At 51.1% G+C, this 17,440-nt stretch overlaps 3 protein-coding genes and 1 non-coding gene across 8 annotated transcripts, besides 12 other annotated features; 2 read left to right on the top strand and 2 right to left on the bottom strand.

The window, feature by feature from the left end:
* On the bottom strand, window positions 611-5,919 carry MARCHF9 (membrane associated ring-CH-type finger 9). 2 transcript variants are annotated; one of them, NM_138396.6, is made up of 4 exons: window positions 5,137-5,919; window positions 3,938-4,093; window positions 2,722-2,914; window positions 611-2,459 (listed from the first exon to the last, which is right to left on the bottom strand). In NM_138396.6, exons 1-4 carry the CDS (start codon window positions 5,491-5,493, stop codon window positions 2,125-2,127), a joined length of 1,041 nt encoding a protein of 346 aa, NP_612405.2. In that variant the 5' UTR covers window positions 5,494-5,919; the 3' UTR covers window positions 611-2,124. The 2 variants fall into 2 exon arrangements, with proteins under 2 accessions (NP_612405.2, XP_047285850.1); XM_047429894.1 differs by lacking the exons at window positions 611-2,459; window positions 2,722-2,914 and adding an exon at window positions 3,323-3,731.
* Window positions 1,513-1,562: an enhancer, noted in NCBI's record as "active region_6556". NCBI's record gives its function as "activates an Ori minimal core promoter by ATAC-STARR-seq in GM12878 lymphoblastoid cells {active_cell/tissue: GM12878}" and the evidence as "EXISTENCE:reporter gene assay evidence [ECO:0000049][PMID:35858748]".
* Window positions 1,683-1,742: an enhancer, noted in NCBI's record as "active region_6555". NCBI's record gives its function as "activates an Ori minimal core promoter by ATAC-STARR-seq in GM12878 lymphoblastoid cells {active_cell/tissue: GM12878}" and the evidence as "EXISTENCE:reporter gene assay evidence [ECO:0000049][PMID:35858748]".
* Window positions 3,827-3,916: an enhancer, noted in NCBI's record as "active region_6554". NCBI's record gives its function as "activates an Ori minimal core promoter by ATAC-STARR-seq in GM12878 lymphoblastoid cells {active_cell/tissue: GM12878}" and the evidence as "EXISTENCE:reporter gene assay evidence [ECO:0000049][PMID:35858748]".
* Window positions 5,267-5,316: a silencer, noted in NCBI's record as "silent region_4593". NCBI's record gives its function as "represses an Ori minimal core promoter by ATAC-STARR-seq in GM12878 lymphoblastoid cells {active_cell/tissue: GM12878}" and the evidence as "EXISTENCE:reporter gene assay evidence [ECO:0000049][PMID:35858748]".
* Window positions 5,377-5,476: a silencer, noted in NCBI's record as "silent region_4592". NCBI's record gives its function as "represses an Ori minimal core promoter by ATAC-STARR-seq in GM12878 lymphoblastoid cells {active_cell/tissue: GM12878}" and the evidence as "EXISTENCE:reporter gene assay evidence [ECO:0000049][PMID:35858748]".
* Window positions 5,917-6,156: a silencer, noted in NCBI's record as "silent region_4591". NCBI's record gives its function as "represses an Ori minimal core promoter by ATAC-STARR-seq in GM12878 lymphoblastoid cells {active_cell/tissue: GM12878}" and the evidence as "EXISTENCE:reporter gene assay evidence [ECO:0000049][PMID:35858748]".
* Window positions 8,263-8,382: a silencer, noted in NCBI's record as "silent region_4590". NCBI's record gives its function as "represses an Ori minimal core promoter by ATAC-STARR-seq in GM12878 lymphoblastoid cells {active_cell/tissue: GM12878}" and the evidence as "EXISTENCE:reporter gene assay evidence [ECO:0000049][PMID:35858748]".
* Window positions 8,263-9,086: a biological region, named in NCBI's record as "NANOG-H3K27ac-H3K4me1 hESC enhancer GRCh37_chr12:58145719-58146452".
* Window positions 8,353-9,086: an enhancer, noted in NCBI's record as "NANOG-H3K27ac-H3K4me1 hESC enhancer chr12:58145719-58146452 (GRCh37/hg19 assembly coordinates)". NCBI's record gives its function as "activates a minimal SCP1, AML or CMV promoter by ChIP-STARR-seq in primed H9 embryonic stem cells {active_cell/tissue: H9 hESC(primed)}" and the evidence as "EXISTENCE:reporter gene assay evidence [ECO:0000049][PMID:30033119]".
* Window positions 8,613-8,692: a silencer, noted in NCBI's record as "silent region_4589". NCBI's record gives its function as "represses an Ori minimal core promoter by ATAC-STARR-seq in GM12878 lymphoblastoid cells {active_cell/tissue: GM12878}" and the evidence as "EXISTENCE:reporter gene assay evidence [ECO:0000049][PMID:35858748]".
* CDK4 (cyclin dependent kinase 4) lies at window positions 8,712-13,295 on the top strand. Its single transcript, NM_000075.4, has 8 exons — window positions 8,712-8,847; window positions 9,286-9,522; window positions 9,680-9,815; window positions 9,932-10,099; window positions 10,257-10,366; window positions 11,518-11,568; window positions 11,705-11,840; window positions 12,405-13,295. The coding sequence occupies exons 2-8, from the start codon at window positions 9,305-9,307 to the stop codon at window positions 12,495-12,497; spliced, it is 912 nt and encodes a 303-aa protein (NP_000066.1). The 5' UTR covers window positions 8,712-8,847; window positions 9,286-9,304; the 3' UTR covers window positions 12,498-13,295.
* Window positions 9,423-9,562: a silencer, noted in NCBI's record as "silent region_4588". NCBI's record gives its function as "represses an Ori minimal core promoter by ATAC-STARR-seq in GM12878 lymphoblastoid cells {active_cell/tissue: GM12878}" and the evidence as "EXISTENCE:reporter gene assay evidence [ECO:0000049][PMID:35858748]".
* On the bottom strand, window positions 10,803-15,983 carry TSPAN31 (tetraspanin 31). 4 transcript variants are annotated; one of them, NM_001330169.2, is made up of 6 exons: window positions 15,791-15,983; window positions 15,110-15,277; window positions 14,766-14,846; window positions 14,302-14,433; window positions 13,891-14,004; window positions 10,803-13,806 (listed from the first exon to the last, which is right to left on the bottom strand). In NM_001330169.2, exons 3-6 carry the CDS (start codon window positions 14,841-14,843, stop codon window positions 13,732-13,734), a joined length of 399 nt encoding a protein of 132 aa, NP_001317098.1. In that variant the 5' UTR covers window positions 14,844-14,846; window positions 15,110-15,277; window positions 15,791-15,983; the 3' UTR covers window positions 10,803-13,731. The 4 variants fall into 4 exon arrangements, with proteins under 4 accessions (NP_001317098.1, NP_005972.1, NP_001317097.1 ...); NM_005981.5 differs by having other exon boundaries at window positions 15,805-15,983; XM_024449123.2 differs by lacking the exon at window positions 15,791-15,983 and adding an exon at window positions 15,583-15,599 and having other exon boundaries at window positions 12,405-13,806.
* On the top strand, window positions 12,340-12,404 carry MIR6759 (microRNA 6759). The gene has a single exon (NR_106817.1). It is a non-coding gene; the product is annotated as a microRNA 6759 (primary transcript).
* Window positions 15,173-15,252: an enhancer, noted in NCBI's record as "active region_6553". NCBI's record gives its function as "activates an Ori minimal core promoter by ATAC-STARR-seq in GM12878 lymphoblastoid cells {active_cell/tissue: GM12878}" and the evidence as "EXISTENCE:reporter gene assay evidence [ECO:0000049][PMID:35858748]".

Genomic DNA, 17,440 nt, shown 5'->3' with positions numbered 1-17,440 from the left:
TGGATACAGTGTGTTTGTGTGTGAGTATGTCTATTTTCTTTGGTATGTCTAACCTTCCCTGCAGAGCCATCACAGAGGACAGCTCAGGCTTGGCACAGGAAGCTCCACATGTGTCCTATCTACCTGAGCCCTATCTGCTGGTATAGATATTAGTAGTCACTCTGATTTGCAATCCCCCATTTGGTCCCCACCAGCTCTTCTGAGAATGGCAAATCAGTAAAGTCTGGCCTTTCTGTCTCCCAAGATGGGGGATATAGAGGGTTCTCTCTCTGGGGAAACAGTTTCCTACTGAGCAGACGGAGGGTTCAGTCTCAGTTCCCTATCCACTCTACTCCCTCAAAAATTGGAAGTTATATACTTCCACACTTTGAAATTACTTGAACCGCAGTCCAGCTTTTGTTCCTACATCCCAAGGCTGGTCTGGATGCCAGCACCATGGACAGCAACCAAGACCCCCTTTGGGAGAGGGGAGGGGACAAGGTTTCCTGGGCAAGGATGTGTGTGGGCCTTTGCAAGGGAAGCATTTTCTCCAAAACATCCCCAGGGAGGAAGGAGGCAAAGCAGAACCTTCCCTGATAGAAGGATCAATAATAAGAAAGGCCTCCAGATCTGACTTTAGCCGTGAATGAAGGAATTATTTAATTGCTGTTGAATGGTTTACTTAAAAACAGCATCATTCATATAATACACAACCCCAAGGTCACAGAAGAAAGTGCCCAGGCTTCAGGCTGACCCACATTGTAAACAGTCCTTCCCAAATCTTTTCTCTATAAACAACAGTCCTCTATGCTGCTGCCTCCAAACATAATGCCATCCATTAATACCACTGGCTGGGCACACCGGGATCAAACCTGTGACCCTAAACTGCCATGGAAATAGCTTAAACTGGGGTTGGAGACTCATAACACTGAGTGGGGGGATTCCCTCCATCTCACTCCAAATGAGTCCAAATTCACTTCACACTGCTTTTCTGGGTGAGCACAGTACTTGAGAAGGACTGATAGAACCCAGATGATCTCCAGAACAAGGCAGATGGCTCCAGCCTTCCCCAGCCCACAGGCCCAAATATTTAGAGTCAGAGGAGTTCTCATTCTTAACAAATAACCACCATGCTTCACATTTGCAATGTCTATTTCCCCTCATATTTCCATACCTATTATGTCACTCAACACAAAATTCCATGATTCTGTGCAACTCCAGATGAAAAACACATTTTAGAATTTGTTACACCAGCTACTATTTGAAATAAATGGACCATCAACTATTCTAGAAATCTCTTTATGTCATTGCTGATTTTCTCTGCAACGGCATCCAACCTGTCCCTCATTTATCCTTATTCCAACCCTATGAAGTAGACAGGAAAACCAGAGCTAAGAGATTTTTTTCTATATCACACAACTCATAGGTGGCAGGTCCAGGTCTACCCTTTAGATACCTCGGAGTGCTGCCACCTAGCAGCCAACATGAATTATTCACCAGCAAGTGGGAGTCACACCTACAACTCAGAACCCACTGCTGCATTTGGGATTTGCAACCTGTGCAGAGAAACCTCCCCACATCTCCCAACCCTCCAGAAAAGCCCCAGATGAGAAAGGAGTCTCCACGTGCATATAAATGATTCTTTATGCCCTTCCCCCATGCAATGGGGGATGGAGCAGGGGGAACTCCCCGCCCTCATGCAGGGAACGGGAGGTCAATGTATACTAGTCTTATTGCCAGATGCCCTGTGGCCATGGGGTGGGGAATAGGGGTCTACAGCCCCTTTCTTCTGGCATTGGTCCCCCTTCACCAAGTCACCGTGGTGGAGCTGGGGGGCTGGAGGCCCTAGGAGCTGAGGTAAAGACGGTTCTCTCCAGGGAAGGAAAGCTGCTCTCCCCGCCTGCCCACCGGCCGTCTCTGGATGAGTGGGAGGAGCTGCCAGCGGGTACTGAAATGTCATCCAGGTGTCTCTACCCAGTGGGCAGTGAGGCCAGACAATGTCTCCAGCTTGAGGCTACCCACACAGATCCTCGGTGACGGGGGCAGCATGCCCCAAACACCTTGTCCAGCTGGTACCTCCAGCAGCCATGAGAGTTCTTCTCTGACTGATGCATTGACTCAAGATCCCTGCTCCTGGAGTCCAGTTCAGACTGTAGTGACCCTCATGACAACCTCTCGGCCAGAATGGGAGCTGGAACGGGCATCTGGTGGCCGCAGCTGCCCAAGGAGGTGCAAGATTGTATAACCGCAGCGCTGAGGCAAGAGCGTCCGCATGCGCTGGGCAGCTGGGGGGCGGCTCGTGGCCCCAGAGGTGGGGCCCGTCCGTGAGTTCCTGGGGCCTGACTTCCCTGCCGTCCCTCCCCCTGCATCTCCTCCTATGTCCTTGGTCTTGTCATAATTTAGGACCTTCCACTGCTGGTTCACTGCCTGCCAGCGCTTGAAGATGCGGTAGACAGAGGAGCCTTCATGGATGATGAGGCCTGAGCAATAGGAATAAGAAATCCAGGGTTAACTGTGGCCTAGATCTAGGCCAGAGGTACTTAAGCAAGCATTTCTTCAGAGTGAGAAGATACAGTTGCAAAGGGCCCTGGAGAAGCAGGGAAGTGGGTTGAGGGGGCACCAGGATAGCACTAAAGGCTACAGTGGCAGAAAATAAAGCCAGGAAACTGAGGGGATGGGCAGGGGAGTTAGGTGTGTAAGAGGAAGATACAGAGCAGGTAAAGGAGAGAGAGGTGCCCTCACCTATGCAGACGACATCCATGAAGCCATACATGCCGTAGCAGATCTGAAAGAGCAGATCCTGTCGTTGCCACTTGGCTGAAGGGCTGAGTGAGGACCAGATGAGCCAGGAGATGCTGGCAACCAGGAAGAGCGAGCCCAGAACTATGGCAGCAATCTGGACCTTCTCGATGACCGTCAGGGAGATGGCCTGCCACTGTGTGGGAGAAAGGGCTCCAAAGAGTCCCAGAAAGGGATGGAGGGCCAGGTGATGGGTGGCCCTGAAGAGCAGGGTGCTCCAGGAACCTTCCCTAAAACCTTCAGGCAGGATCAACATCTGTCTTCTCTGTGCCTTGATTAAATCTAGAATGTGGCACTTGTCTGACACCATTTGTCTTACTTTAGAAAGGCAGGATTGGGCAAGTGCTCTGAAACCAAAACATCTAGATTTGAATCCTAAATCTTGACTCCATCACTTACTGGCTAAGTAACCTTGGGTAAGTTTTCAAATCTTTGTGCATCAGTGTCCTCGTTTGTAAAAGGGGATAATAATAGTATCTAATAAGATTATTGTGAAGATTAAGAGTTAATACACACCAAAACTTGACACAGAAAACACTACATATTTGCTATCATCATCAACATCATTTTTTCTTTTCTTTTTTTTTTTTTTCCTTCGAGACGGAGTCTTGCTCTGTTGCCCAGGCTGGAGTGCAGTGGCTGTGATCTCGGCTCACTGCAACCTCTGCCTCCCGGGTTCAAGGATTCTCCCGCCTCAGCTTCGCGAGTAGCTTACAGGCACGAGCCACCACGCCTGGCTAATTTTTGTATTCTTAGTAGAGACGGGGTTTCACCATGTTGGCCAGGCTGGTCTCAAACTCTTGACCTCGTGATCCGCCCGCCTCGGCCTCCCAAAGTGCTGGGATTACAGGCGTGAGCCACCGCGCCCAGCATTTTTTTTTTCTTTTCTTTCTTTTTTCTTTTTTTTTGTGGCGGGTGGGGAGTGGTGATTGTCCCAGTGCCTAGAACAGTGCCTGGAATATAAGTGGCACCCAATAAATATCTCTGTGAATAAATTAAGGGCTTAGGAAGGATATACAGACACACGGGAGACTGTGGTAACTGGCGGGGAAGGGTGGCTTTGGGAAAAGAGTAAATGAAATAGGCTTCCTGGAGGGTCCCTGAGTCCAATAGCTAAAAGGTCCTCGCCCAATCTCCGAGTCCTCTCCTTGCACCTCACCTGCAGTGGGTTCTTGGTGCTGATCGCCAGGACCTGGTACTTGAAGTAGCAGAGCTCACAGCTCCAGGAGCCCCTCTCGCTGATCCAGCGGATGAGGCAGGGCTGATGCGTGCAGCGCACTGAGCCGTCGCAGCGGCAGGGGCTTAAGAGCTCCCCCTGGAGGAAGAGTGAGGAGGGGCCCTGTCAGCCATCACCACCCCGACCCCACTCAGCCGCGCTCCCCGACAGGGAAACCTCCTCTTCAGGTCACTTTCCCACCTTAAATAACTCAGGCCTTTCACCCAAGACAGGGCAAGAGGCTAAGTAAGGCTGCAACAGAAAAGAAGCTTCCCTTGGAGATCAAGGGAAACTTCCCATACCAAAGAGATGAAAGATGGAAAGGGATGGGGGGATTAGAGGGGAGAAGGGCTGGGTCTTCTCTTTTCCTAGAATTTGGGATGGGTAGTCTTTAAGACTTCTCAAAAGAAAGGCTTCCTCTTAGGATCTGGAGGGAGGGGAGTGTTAGAGCTTCTGAGCCATGCTTTCCTTCCCCCACCCCATCATTGTAAAGTTACTTCACAGATCTGGCGCAAACTGGGATGGGTTATGGTCCTCGGTTTCCACGTACTAAAAAGGGGAGAAATCGCGGAGGTGGGAGTGAAGGGTGTTTCCCTTTAATCATGGAATCAATTCTCACTACACAGAGACACCCCCTGGCACTATTCTGGGACAACTTTGCCCATAAAATTTTAACAAAGAATACTCTTTAGAATGAGATAGAAAGTTGCAGAATGGGAAGTGAAAAAAAGTGCCCCACGGGGAGAAATACTGAGCTAAGCAAGGGCGCTGGCTGGGCCCCTCCCTTCAAGGGGGGCACAGAAGCACTCTCCTTTCTGCCCACCTGCAAGAGAACAGGTCCCCTTAGCTTACGGAGACCCTGGGGCGAGGGAAATAGGAGAGAACAGCAGTCCCTGTTAATGGGTGAGAGGGATTTTGCGCTCTCCGGGGAGAAAGCCCCACCCCTTCCTGGGGACCCTTGACCCTCCGACACAAACAAGCGCTCCAGGAGTCCCCTGCCAGCCCCTCGGCCTCACCCCATTCCCACTCCGTGTCCTGGGGCCCGCCCAGCCTCCTTAGGCGCCGCGCCTGCTCGCGGTCTCCGCTGACACCCCAGGTGCGCGCCTCCACCCTCCGCGCCCGGCCAGGTGCCCAGGCCTGACCTGCTCCGGGCCCTGGAAGCAGATCCGGCACTGAGGGGTTCGGAGTCCGCTGTCCAGGCTACTGCTGAGCGACAGGGCGTCCAGCGCGCCCGGGGGCGGCAGCGGCGGCGCGGGCGGCGGCAGGGGTCCGGCCCGCGGCTCCTTGTCGCCGGCCAGGCCCCGGGCCCGCGGCTCCGACCCGTAGTACTCCTCCTCGTCGCCGTCGCCGTCCCGGGTGGAGCAGCCAGCGAAGGGCGCCCAGCCGCAGCCGCCTCCCCGGCCCCCCCGGGGTTGCGGCTCGGCCCGGGGCCGCCCCCCGCCTGTCAGCACCAGCAGCTTCAGCTCGTTCAGAAACATGCGGAGCCGAGACTTGAGCATCGTCCGGACACCGGGGGCGGGGGGCAGCGTGCAAGGGGGGCTCGCTAGCGGCGGGGGGAGGGGAGAGGACAAGGCCGGGAAGGGGGCGCGCGCTAGAGAGCCGAGCCGGGCCGGGGTCTTCGGGGCCTGCGACAGCCGTTCACTGCTGCCACCGCCGGGGCTCCGGTGCTTGCGGGGCCGAGCGGGCTGGCGGCCCGGGGGCGGCGGGGTGGGCGGCCATGGCCAGGGCAGGGGGCGGGGAGGGGGGCTCAGGGTGCCGCACCCCGCGGGTCTGGGTCTGGAGCGGGCCGGGCCCCCGGGGTTACGCGCCCGGGTCCTCCTGCGGCGGGGCCGCCCCCCATCGCCGTTCTCTCGGTCCCAGTCCCCCTCCGGCTCCGGGATCAGGCTTGGCTCGGCCCGTGCGCTCGGCGGTGGCAAATGGCGGCTCCTTCCGGCGGCGGCGGCGGCGGAGACCCCCCCGGAGTGGCGGGCGGGCGGGGCGGGCGCCGGGGAGCGGGTGAAGGATGGAGGGAGGGGCGGGGCGGGGAGGGGGAGAGGAGAAGGGGCCGCGGCTGCGCATCCCCGCCCTGCCCCGCACGAGCAGGTGTCCCAGGGGCGGGGGCAAGTGTGGGATCCCGAGGAGGGTGGAGGAAGGGGAGTGGCCAAGGAAGGGGAGTGTGCACACAAGTTGACTAGGTGTGTGTCTGGGAGTGGGGGATGAGCGGGTGAGCATGGAAGGTGAGTGGTTAAATGACGCAGGTGTACCAGGGAGGGTGAGGCTTGTGCAAAATGGGAATGTGCAAAGAAAGAGCTGTGCAAGTGTCGGAGGTGTGAGGGAGGTACATGGGCAGGGGTGGGACTCAAGCAATATACACTTTACCCAAAGGGCTGAAAAGTGTGATCGATGGGGACTGGGAAAGAGAGGTGTGTAAGGAATGGAATCGGATTGTCTGAGAAACAGAAGCCTGTGATTGTAATGTGTGAAGGAGGTGAGGGAGGGAGCAGGGGAGGTAGGCGTGCTAAAGGGATGGGAGTGTCTTTCCTGGTACTCTCCTGCCCTCACCTCCACTACACTGAAGTGAACAATACACACACTTACCCCTTTCCTTTTATGGAGACTTCCCTCTGAGGCCAAGTTCTACCCCCATCACATTTTTTTCTTTCTTACACTTACATTCTCCCTCTCCTCCCCTTTGCAAAGCTGAGGGAAAAGGGATTCCAGGGGAGCTCATTGGGTCAAACATACTGGGAAAAAATTTAATTAGTGAAAGAGTAATTAACAGAAGAAGGGAGGGGACAGAGCCTGGGACAGACTGCCAAATTAAGGTTCCTCAATAGAAAGTGATGGAGAGACAGTAATGTTCCCATGAAGTATTCAAATGTTTTGGATGGACTAATGAATGAATCAGAAAAAGGGGCTGGGACCCAAGCAGACAGAGAGGACGTCTTCTGTTGCAAAGACAGTAAGCTGTGAAGGTCTTATGTGGAAGGTGAGGCTGAAGTGGGGAATGCTGGTGTGGGAAGGGAGTTTGAAAAACTCACAGACAATTATCTTAGCCTTCCAGAAGGCTTACAAAGCACCCACCCCTAGCAAGGTAGCCAATAAAACATTCACCTCTTGAGCCCCTTAGTCAGTTCAGTCCTTGAGGTTTTTCTTACTAGTGTTCCAGCTGCCCTTGCCAGGAGGGGCCCAGGGCTACAAGTATCAGGATGGAAAGAGGAGGCATCTGTATTAATATGTATTCTATTTTGCTCTAAGTCATGGTTTATATTCATCTTCTAGTTTGAACTCTTATATTCTCAGCCAGATGGTTAAGGAAAACAGAAGTTAGAGTGGAAGGAGTGGCAAATAGGGTAATAAAATGGCTTTAGATTTTAGACAAATTCTCACAAATGAGACACTAACCGCTTTCCTCCTTTACTCCCATACCCCCAAAGGGCTGGGAGATAAAGACCTTGGAGCCAATAAAACAAAGTAGGAGAAATCTACTTGTGTCTACCTAGGTGTCTGGGCAGAGGCCATTTGGGAACAAGTGTGTTCTGGACAGTGCTAAGTGCTAAGAAAGCGGCACTAGGGAAAAAGAGGGAAGCACAATAACTCCAAATGAGTAGTCACAAGGTTTGCAGAAGGGGGCATGTCATTTTCATTCATTGTGGTGGTCTGGAGGGTGCAGGGGGTGTGGTGGTAACTTTCTTGCACATGTGCAATCCTGTATCCGTCTTATATATGATGTGATAAATAATATCATATACATACATATATACATAGAAGCATATATGCACACATACAAATATCACATAATCATAGAACCTTCCTACTGGAAAAAAAAAAAAAACTTAAAAGGTCAAGTATTCCTGTCTCCTGCTCATCAATAACTTCTCTGCCAGATGGCCTCAGGTCTTTGCATTAACACTCCCAGGGAGGTTTGGAAGTTGGAAAAGTGAGAGGATTACCTTGTCACTGAGCCTGTTGGATTACTGTATTAATCTGCCTTCCGTCATCCTTTAATCGTAGTTTTGCCCTCAAATGGGCATTGTTTACTCCCTATTGTAGAAGACCCCATTGTTGGCTACATCTTTATAGATAGTCGTACCACTACTTTAAAGGGCCAGTGACAGACACCAAAAACAAAATAAAAACCCACATACACACTGGAAGCAAGCACTCAGTAAAATGTTGTAGAATTAATGAATGAAACAATGACACAAATGAGAGTATGTTTTCTCATGGTGGAGCGAAAAGGTGACAGCATCACCTCTGGTACCCCAACTCCCACCCCCTCCCCAATGCAGACAGGCTGAAAGACCGGTAGTGAGACTGGAGTTCAGCCTTCAGACCGGTAGTGAGACAATCCTTCAGCCGGGAGTTGGGCTCTGGGTGGCCTAGGTTGCCATGGCACCGCCTCGGGCTCCACCCTCTCTTGTCCCCCTCACCGCTCCCCCCCTGCAGCGGGGGTTGTGGCAGCCAGTCACGTGCCCGCCGCGTAGCCACACCTCTGCTCCTCAGAGCAATGTCAAGCGGTCACGTGTGATAGCAACAGATCACGTGGCTGCCATCGCCCCTCCGCCCCCTTACACTCTTCGCCCTCCTCCCAGTCGAAGCACCTCCTGTCCGCCCCTCAGCGCATGGGTGGCGGTCACGTGCCCAGAACGTCCGGCGTTCGCCCCGCCCTCCCAGTTTCCGCGCGCCTCTTTGGCAGCTGGTCACATGGTGAGGGTGGGGGTGAGGGGGCCTCTCTAGCTTGCGGCCTGTGTCTATGGTCGGGCCCTCTGCGTCCAGCTGCTCCGGACCGAGCTCGGGTGTATGGGGCCGTAGGAACCGGCTCCGGGGCCCCGATAACGGGCCGCCCCCACAGCACCCCGGGCTGGCGTGAGGTAAGTGCAGTCCCTTCCCAGGAATGAGAACCAGTGCCCGCCCCCCTCACAGCTTTCCACGCGTTCGTTTCGCGAGCTGGTTATGGAAGGGTCGCTCAAGGGCGGGAAGTGGGGCCTTTGTGGTCATGGGAAAGTATAATTTTAGGGACTGAGGTGTAGGATCTTCGATGCAAGGCATGTGTCATGTGTGATCTTTGTGCGGGGCGCGATTGTCCCAAAGGAAAAAGCGTTTTCTATTGCAGGGCCTCACGTGGCTGGAGGGGTTGGTATTGAGTCATTGTGTTATCTCTGGGGCCGGCCCCAAGGAAGACTGGGAGCGGGGGATGGGATGCTGGTGGTGTTCTTTGCGCTTTTTTTTTGGGAGTCCCTTTGTTGCTGCAGGCTCATACCATCCTAACTCTGTAAGCGACTTTTGGTGATAGGAGTCTGTGATTGTAGGGTCTCCCTTGATCTGAGAATGGCTACCTCTCGATATGAGCCAGTGGCTGAAATTGGTGTCGGTGCCTATGGGACAGTGTACAAGGCCCGTGATCCCCACAGTGGCCACTTTGTGGCCCTCAAGAGTGTGAGAGTCCCCAATGGAGGAGGAGGTGGAGGAGGCCTTCCCATCAGCACAGTTCGTGAGGTGGCTTTACTGAGGCGACTGGAGGCTTTTGAGCATCCCAATGTTGTCCGGTGAGAAGGTGGTGGAGGGTTGGGCGTGGGGAGTAAAGGGAAAAGACAGCCTATAGGTGGGGTGTGATGATCTGTAGAGAAGTGGGGACCCTGAGGAAATAATGAGAGGCCATGTTGGGTTAAAGGGGATTGAAAAGTGAGCATTTACTCTGGTCAGGCTGATGGACGTCTGTGCCACATCCCGAACTGACCGGGAGATCAAGGTAACCCTGGTGTTTGAGCATGTAGACCAGGACCTAAGGACATATCTGGACAAGGCACCCCCACCAGGCTTGCCAGCCGAAACGATCAAGGTGAGTGGGGTTGGTAGGCATTGAGAGGTGGATTGGGACCTTTGTAGTAGAACCTTCTGGGATTTCAGGTATGGTGCCTAGTTTCCAGTGCATCTGTACCTCCCCTTTGAAACTAGGATCTGATGCGCCAGTTTCTAAGAGGCCTAGATTTCCTTCATGCCAATTGCATCGTTCACCGAGATCTGAAGCCAGAGAACATTCTGGTGACAAGTGGTGGAACAGTCAAGCTGGCTGACTTTGGCCTGGCCAGAATCTACAGCTACCAGATGGCACTTACACCCGTGGTCAGTAGAAAGATGGTACCAAAATGGGTTCTGGTTGGGAGTAGGAGAGTGATTGCCCGTAGCAATTGAGAAGTCATGTGCTTCATGTGTTCAGTCAAGCAAGTTGTGTTTCATGGTAACCCATGGGGTCCCCATCCATTCTTCCTATTCCCTTTAGGTTGTTACACTCTGGTACCGAGCTCCCGAAGTTCTTCTGCAGTCCACATATGCAACACCTGTGGACATGTGGAGTGTTGGCTGTATCTTTGCAGAGATGTTTCGTCGAAAGTATGGGACCCACATACCCTGGACTACCTTGAATTCCCCAAATCGCTTGTTCATAAACCACATCCATACCTTGCCCATTCTTTTTTTTTGAGACCAGGGCTTGCTGTGTTGCCCAGGCTGGATTGCAATGGCATGATCACAGCTCACTGCAGCTTCAACCTCCTGGGCTCAAGTGATCCTCCCATCTCAGCTTCCCAACTAGCTGACACTACAGGCACGCACCTCCATGCTTGGCTAGTTTGTTAATATTTTTATAGAGATGGGGTCTCAGTATATTGCCCAGGCTGGTCTTGAACTCTTGCACTCAAGCAATCCTCCCACCCCTACCTCCCAAAGTAGCATAAGCTACTGCATCTGGCCCCATTCTTTTACTTGCGTACTACTAACTTGCCCATAGCAGAAAGCTCTGAAATGTTCTGGAATTAGGAACTTCATATCCCTTTATTCTCTTTATTTTTTATTTATTTATTTATTTATTTATTTATTTATTTATTTATTTATTGAGATAAGGTTTCACTCTGTCACCCAGGCTGGAGTGCAGTGGCCCAATTACAGCTCACTGTAGCCTCTACCTCCTGGGCTAAAGCAATCCTCCCATCTCAGCCTCTTGAGTAGCTGAGACTACAGGTGCACGCCACCATGACTGGCTTTTTTTTTTTTTAGATGGAGTCTTGCTCTGTCGCCAGGCTGGAGTGCAGTAGTGCGATCTCTGCTCACTGCAACCTCCACCTCCCAGATTCAAGCAATTCTCTTGACTCAGCCTCCCAAGTAGCTGGGACCACAGGTGCACGCCACCATGCTCAGCTAATTTTTGTACTTTTAGTAATGACAGGGTTTCACCATGTTGGCCAGGATGGTCTCGATCTCTTGACCTCATGATCCACCCACATCAGACTCCCAAAGTGCTAGGATTACAGGCGTGAGCCGCTGCACCTGGCATTTCTTTTTTTTTAAAAAAAGAGACAAGGTCTTGCTTGCCCAGGCTGATCTAGAACTCCTGGGCTCAAGCAGTCCTCTCACCTCAGCATCCCAAAGTGCTGGAATTGTTGGCCTTTATTCCCTATACTTCCTATTTTGAGCCACTAAGCAGTAACCATTCAACTAAGATATCTTTGAAAATGACTGCTACCTTATATCCCTTCTCACCTTAGGCCTCTCTTCTGTGGAAACTCTGAAGCCGACCAGTTGGGCAAAATCTTTGAGTAAGTGACCAACATGGGAGAAAAAGATTTTCTATTCTGAGTCCTCTTTCTGCTGAACCCAGGATGGCAACTGGCTCTGCCCATGGGGATGGGAACTGGAGGACCCTCCTGACCAGAGTTCTCCTGTCCCCCACAGCCTGATTGGGCTGCCTCCAGAGGATGACTGGCCTCGAGATGTATCCCTGCCCCGTGGAGCCTTTCCCCCCAGAGGGCCCCGCCCAGTGCAGTCGGTGGTACCTGAGATGGAGGAGTCGGGAGCACAGCTGCTGCTGGTACTGGAGATGGCTGTGGGCACAGGGAAAGAAATAGAGACTGGGGAAAGAAATAGAGCAGTATGCAGGGCCCTGGCCACTGTGGTTAATGAAACTTGGTTGGTAGATGGGCTGTAGTTTTTATTACAGCTGCAAATAGCCACCCACAGAGAAGGATATAGAAGAGAACCCATCCTGGCTGGGCACGGTGGCTCACGCCTGTAATCCCAGCACTTTGGGAGGCCAAGGTGGGCGTATCACCTGAGGTCAGGAGTTCGAGACCAGCCTGGCCAACATGGTGAAACCTCGTCTCTACTAAAAGTACAAAAATAAGCCGGGGGTGGTGGCACACGCCTGTAATCTCAGCTACTTGGGAGGCTGAGATAGGAGAATCACTTCAACTCAGGAGGCGGAGGTTGCAGTGAGCTGAGATCATACCATTGCACTCCAGCCTGGGTGATAGAGCGAGACTCCGTCTCAAAAAAAAAAAAAAAGAAAAAAGAAGAAAGCTCATCCCAGGTATTGTTGTGGGTGGGCAGAAGTCTGTTTTCTTCATGGTTTTCTGACCTTTGCCTCTCCCCTCAGGAAATGCTGACTTTTAACCCACACAAGCGAATCTCTGCCTTTCGAGCTCTGCAGCACTCTTATCTACATAAGGATGAAGGTAATCCGGAGTGAGCAATGGAGTGGCTGCCATGGAAGGAAGAAAAGCTGCCATTTCCCTTCTGGACACTGAGAGGGCAATCTTTGCCTTTATCTCTGAGGCTATGGAGGGTCCTCCTCCATCTTTCTACAGAGATTACTTTGCTGCCTTAATGACATTCCCCTCCCACCTCTCCTTTTGAGGCTTCTCCTTCTCCTTCCCATTTCTCTACACTAAGGGGTATGTTCCCTCTTGTCCCTTTCCCTACCTTTATATTTGGGGTCCTTTTTTATACAGGAAAAACAAAACAAAGAAATAATGGTCTTTTTTTTTTTTTTAATGTTTCTTCCTCTGTTTGGCTTTGCCATTGTGCGATTTGGAAAAACCACTTGGAAGAAGGGACTTTCCTGCAAAACCTTAAAGACTGGTTAAATTACAGGGCCTAGGAAGTCAGTGGAGCCCCTTGACTGACAAAGCTTAGAAAGGAACTGAAATTGCTTCTTTGAATATGGATTTTAGGCGGGGCGTGGTGGCTCACGCCTATAATCCCAGCACGTTGGGAGGCCAACGCGGGTGGATCACCTGAGGTCAGGAGTTCGAGACCAGCCTGACTAACATGGTGAAACCCTGTCTCTACTAAAAATACAAAATTAGTCAGGCGTGGTGGTGCACACCTGTAATCCCAGCTACTTGGGAGACTGAGGCAGGAGGATCGCTTGAACCCGGGAGGCAGAGGTTGCGGTGAGCCGAGATCATGCCATTGCACTCCAGCCTGGGCAACAGAGCAAGACTCTGTGTCAAAAAAAAAAAAAGAATATAGATTTTTAAATGGCTTTTACTTTTATATTCGCTAAACTTTCTCAAACTGGATCCTGCTTATTACAGGAAAGAGTTCTTGGTTGTTTTCTCCTTGGCCCTATCCCTGATTTACCCTTAGAGCCACACCAGGGTATGTTGAGGTGATCCAGTATATGGACAGAGGAAGGGAAACAGCTAAGAATGACTCCAGCCCCCATCCTATGCACTCACAGAAGCTTCCCATATCCTCTTGGAGAGAGAGGAAGAAAGTTTTTCCTTTTATTCCTTATAGTCTGGCTCCCACTAAAATATGTCAAGGCATAAAGTCTTGCTATTCCATCAATTTTAGAGGATGTGACAAGGGGCCTTTCCTTTTTCTCAAACCAAAACGGTTACAGACCCTAGATATTCCCTAAGGGAGGAAGAGAAAGCTTAGAGAGAGCAGAAGAAAAGTCAGAAGGATCCAAAGTCTCATAGAAAGGCACTGGGGTTGGCTCTAGGATCCTTCTGATTCCGAAATCTCATTGCTAGCCAAACACCAAGGATCTGTAGGAACAAAGGGAGAGAGATAAGTATCAATTAATTCTCAGTCTCAAAAAGGATGTGTGTGAGGGAACTGGAGAATGTTACCTCTGTAAAGCTAAAGAAGAGTCCAACACCCCCTAGGATTTTCAGGGCTTCGTCTGAATGCTTAAGAAACTTTTCTCCACACATCTGGCATGTGGGGCTCTGGCTCTTGCAGATCTGAGGATAAAACGTGAAGAATGCAAAGTTGTGAATGTAAAGTTGCTAGTGACTAATACCTATGCCGAATGTCCCTAGAAACTTTACTGTTATCTGACCAGTGTCCTACAAACTAAAATCCTACTTGGCTAATTCCCCAGCCTCTATCCACCCCCACCTCCCACCAACACAGCCCCAATACAAGAGGGCTTGTAGAGAGAGAAACAATGACATTCAAACTAAATTTGCCAACTTGGGCATTGTCCTTACCCAGTTTCCTACCTCCCCTGGCTGCTGCACCACCCCCAACACACTCACTGCAGTGCAGAAATCATAATCTTGTTGATACAGGGTTGTGAGGTTGAATAAGCCACAACAATCAAAACTTCTTTCCAGTTCATCCCGAGTCTTGTTGCTCATGACCCACCAAGAAGCATTGATGACATCTGTCTGAAAGATATGGGTAGAGGGAAATTAAGTCTCCCTACATCCTGTTATCAGTTCAAGTGCCTCAATTTCCCTAGCCCAGCAAAGGAAGTCAAACAGAAGCATAACGGTGTGCAACAATTATAGACACGATAAATATCTACCTTTTGAGGTTCTCTAGATCATCCTCATGGAAAATTAACCAGACATCCCAGAGGAAGCAAATAGCCCAAGAGGCCAGAAGCAGTGCACCTAAGGATGATCTTTGGGTAGTTGGGGCCAGACTAAGGAAGGAGTTCGAGGTTAAGAGGAAAATTTTAAAAAGCAAGTAAGTACTTGAAAGGGTACTGTCTTACCTGTTTGCTTCGGTTAATAGCCAGACATGAGCAAGAGATTACAAATTGGAAGATGAAGACCAAACCAAGGATGATCATGTACTGAGAGGAAAGGTTATGGAAAAAAGTCCTAGATTCCTTTATGTTTCATCTATAATAACTGTCTGGTCTCATCTGTTCATAGAACTTACACCACCATGTCAAATTGAAAGCAATAAAATCAGCTCTTGTTTCGTAGATTATGGGACAGGGCAGGGCAAGGAGACGTGTCCAAGATCCCTGAGGTCCCCTACCCTTCTAACATCTTCCTTAGATGACAGCCCTCCCAAGCCCCCGGTTGCCCCCATCACTTCAGGTCAGGATACAAAGAACAGCAGGACTTGGTGGTGGTTGACAGCACCCACCAGTCCAGCCACTGCAATAAGGAGAAGGAAGACTCCCACAGCAATGACTCCGCCGATGATGTGGATGCTGGACACCAGACCCAGGCCCTTGCCCCAAGCAGCCACTCCAATGAGCAACAAGCTCACCAGCTACGAAGAAAGAGCAGGATACATCTCAACAATTCTAGCATGCGGCACAGCCCAAGGCCATACAAGAGGACTTGGGAGCGGGGCAGGGGGAAGGAATAATGGAATAGTGTGTGAATGGGAGCTGGGGATGGTGCTATCCGCACCGGGAGCATCCCTAGGCACTCCCAAAGGTTAGAATGGCTAGGATGGCGGGGAGGGGGTGGCAGGGATGGTAGTATGAATGCAAAAGATGAACCCTCAGGATCATCCTATCACTTCCAGTTTGGAAGAAACTGAGGTTCACAGGAAGGAGGTATGGAACTTACGCCCACGGCCTTCAGTTCATTCCCCCACCCTCAGACAAACCCCCTTAATCAACCGGAAGTCTCCTCTCTCCCACGGAAGTCCCCAGGAATTCCCTCGTCGCCGGAAGTTCCTGGGAATCTTCCCGGAACCCCCATACACCCCTCTCCCCACCGGAAGTACCCTAGAGATTCTCCCCACGGGGCCTTTCCGCCTTGAAGCTTCCCCCACCTCCAAAACCTCACCATGTAGACCACGTTGAGAGCGCAAAGCGCATTCTTGGAGCAGGCAAAGCCGCCACAAACCATCTCCCCAGCTCTGGGGACCCAAGTGGTCCCAAGGACTTGGGGGGAGGGTATTGGGGACCGTCTTCCAGGACCCCGACAGCTTCTGTCTCTTTAAATCGAGGCCAGCCAAACCCAATACTCTGCGCCTGCACCGTCCCTCCCCTGCCTCTGGATTGGCGAAATGCGTGGCTAATCCTGGACGTCCAAGGCCTGCATGCCAATCAACCCGCATTACGTCACCGACCCGCCTTCTGTCCCTCTCCTTTTGTTTTTTCATTGGGCGAAACTTAAAACTAGGGGCAGGGTTTCTAGAGACTCTCTTAGGGACTACAGCCTAAACTCCAAAAGCTTAGGTTGAAAGCTGAGCTTTCTGTGGTCGGAGTTAGGAGAGGGCTAATTCCCAGGGAGACGGCTCTGGAGGAACTTAGGTGAAGGGGAGACGGCGGGAGGGGCGGGTAGGGGGCCGCTCTGAGAGCTGGGCAAAAAGGGCTCCGCCCGTAGAAGGAGGGCCCTTCCCCACCCCCTTCCCCCTGTTCTGCAGTGACCTCACGATGACGCCATTGTTTTGTTATTGCGTCACGCTCGGGAACACCCAAAGGAGCCACATATTGAGCTTATTTAGCCCGGCCGCAGAGTCCGCGGGTTGGACACAGCAACACCCAGCAAATCATCACACGTTTGTGTGTCCTCTAGTACCCATGTCCTGTTCCATATCTCCTCCTAAAGGGGTGTGAATATACCAGAAATTCAGTGTGGAAATAGCGGCCTCAGGCCAGCGCATTCCTGTATGTGGCATTGCCACAAGTGCACAGAGGGGTGTGCTCAGCATTTTCAGAGTACACGCCTGATCTAGGGCTTGCAAAAAAACGGCAGGCAAGAGGAAGAGTCTCATTTACATAAATATAAGTGGAAGGAGCCTCCACCTTTTCACTTGGGGGTAGGCTGATCAACAACTTTATTATCTAGTAAGTGCTTTGACAAACCGTCCTTCTCACGGGGGTAGGGAAAGGCATAATCCTTCTCTTCCCCAGGAGAAAGAAACAGTAGGAACAAAAAAGAAAACCCTCCAATCAACTCAACAGAATGATTTAAGTTTGTGTGTACTTAGATTCTATAGACTTACTGCCACAGTCAGATTGCCACTTCCTAGCTGCGTAACCTTTGGCCAGGCACTTAGAAACTGTCTGTGCGTGTTTCCTCATCTGTAAAATGGGGATAAATAACAACACACCCTACCTCTTGGGTTGTAAGAATTAAATGAGTTAATATATGTAGAATACTTAGAACAGTACCTGGCATATAGTAAACACTCAATGTTAGTTATTACTTTTCAGGTCATTTTACAGGTTCCTGTGGGCAATTCCAACCTCAATTCCCTTATCTTTAACTACACAGTATTTATATAAACTCTTACAGAAATTAATACCAAAAAGGTATGCAGGAGAATAGATGTTTGACAGGGCGAGAGAGGTGTTTGGGTCTTGAAACAAGGTAATTAAGTTATTATCATTATTATTATTTTGAGACAGAGTCTCCCTCTGTCGCCCAGGCTGGAGTGTAGTGGCGCGATCTCAGTTCACTGCAACCTTCACCT

The sequence above is a fragment of the Homo sapiens genome, chromosome 12, assembly GCF_000001405.40.
Source record: "Homo sapiens chromosome 12, GRCh38.p14 Primary Assembly".
Classification (NCBI taxonomy): Eukaryota; Metazoa; Chordata; class Mammalia; order Primates; family Hominidae; genus Homo; species Homo sapiens.
The sequence above is the reverse complement of the archived record's forward strand: the minus strand, read 5'-3'. Positions and strand labels throughout refer to the sequence as shown.

Coding starts and splice junctions, on each gene's coding strand:
- MARCHF9 (NM_138396.6), bottom strand. CDS start 5,493: ATGCTCAAGTCTCGGCTCCGCATGTTTCTGAACGAGCTGAAGCTGCTG. Junction 4,094..5,136: donor GCTTCCAGGGCCCGGAGCAG/GTCAGGCCTGGG, acceptor CTCTTCCTCCAG/GGGGAGCTCTTAAGCCCCTG. Junction 2,460..2,721: donor CATGGATGTCGTCTGCATAG/GTGAGGGCACCT, acceptor CCTATTGCTCAG/GCCTCATCATCCATGAAGGC.
- CDK4 (NM_000075.4), top strand. CDS start 9,305: ATGGCTACCTCTCGATATGAGCCAGTGGCTGAAATTGGTGTCGGTGCC. Junction 9,816..9,931: donor TGCCAGCCGAAACGATCAAG/GTGAGTGGGGTT, acceptor CTTTGAAACTAG/GATCTGATGCGCCAGTTTCT. Junction 10,100..10,256: donor AGATGGCACTTACACCCGTG/GTCAGTAGAAAG, acceptor TATTCCCTTTAG/GTTGTTACACTCTGGTACCG.
- TSPAN31 (NM_005981.5), bottom strand. CDS start 15,867: ATGGTTTGTGGCGGCTTTGCCTGCTCCAAGAATGCGCTTTGCGCTCTC. Junction 15,278..15,804: donor CTCTCAACGTGGTCTACATG/GTGAGGTTTTGG, acceptor CTTTCTTCGTAG/CTGGTGAGCTTGTTGCTCAT. Junction 14,847..15,109: donor ACCAAGTCCTGCTGTTCTTT/GTATCCTGACCT, acceptor CTTTCCTCTCAG/TACATGATCATCCTTGGTTT.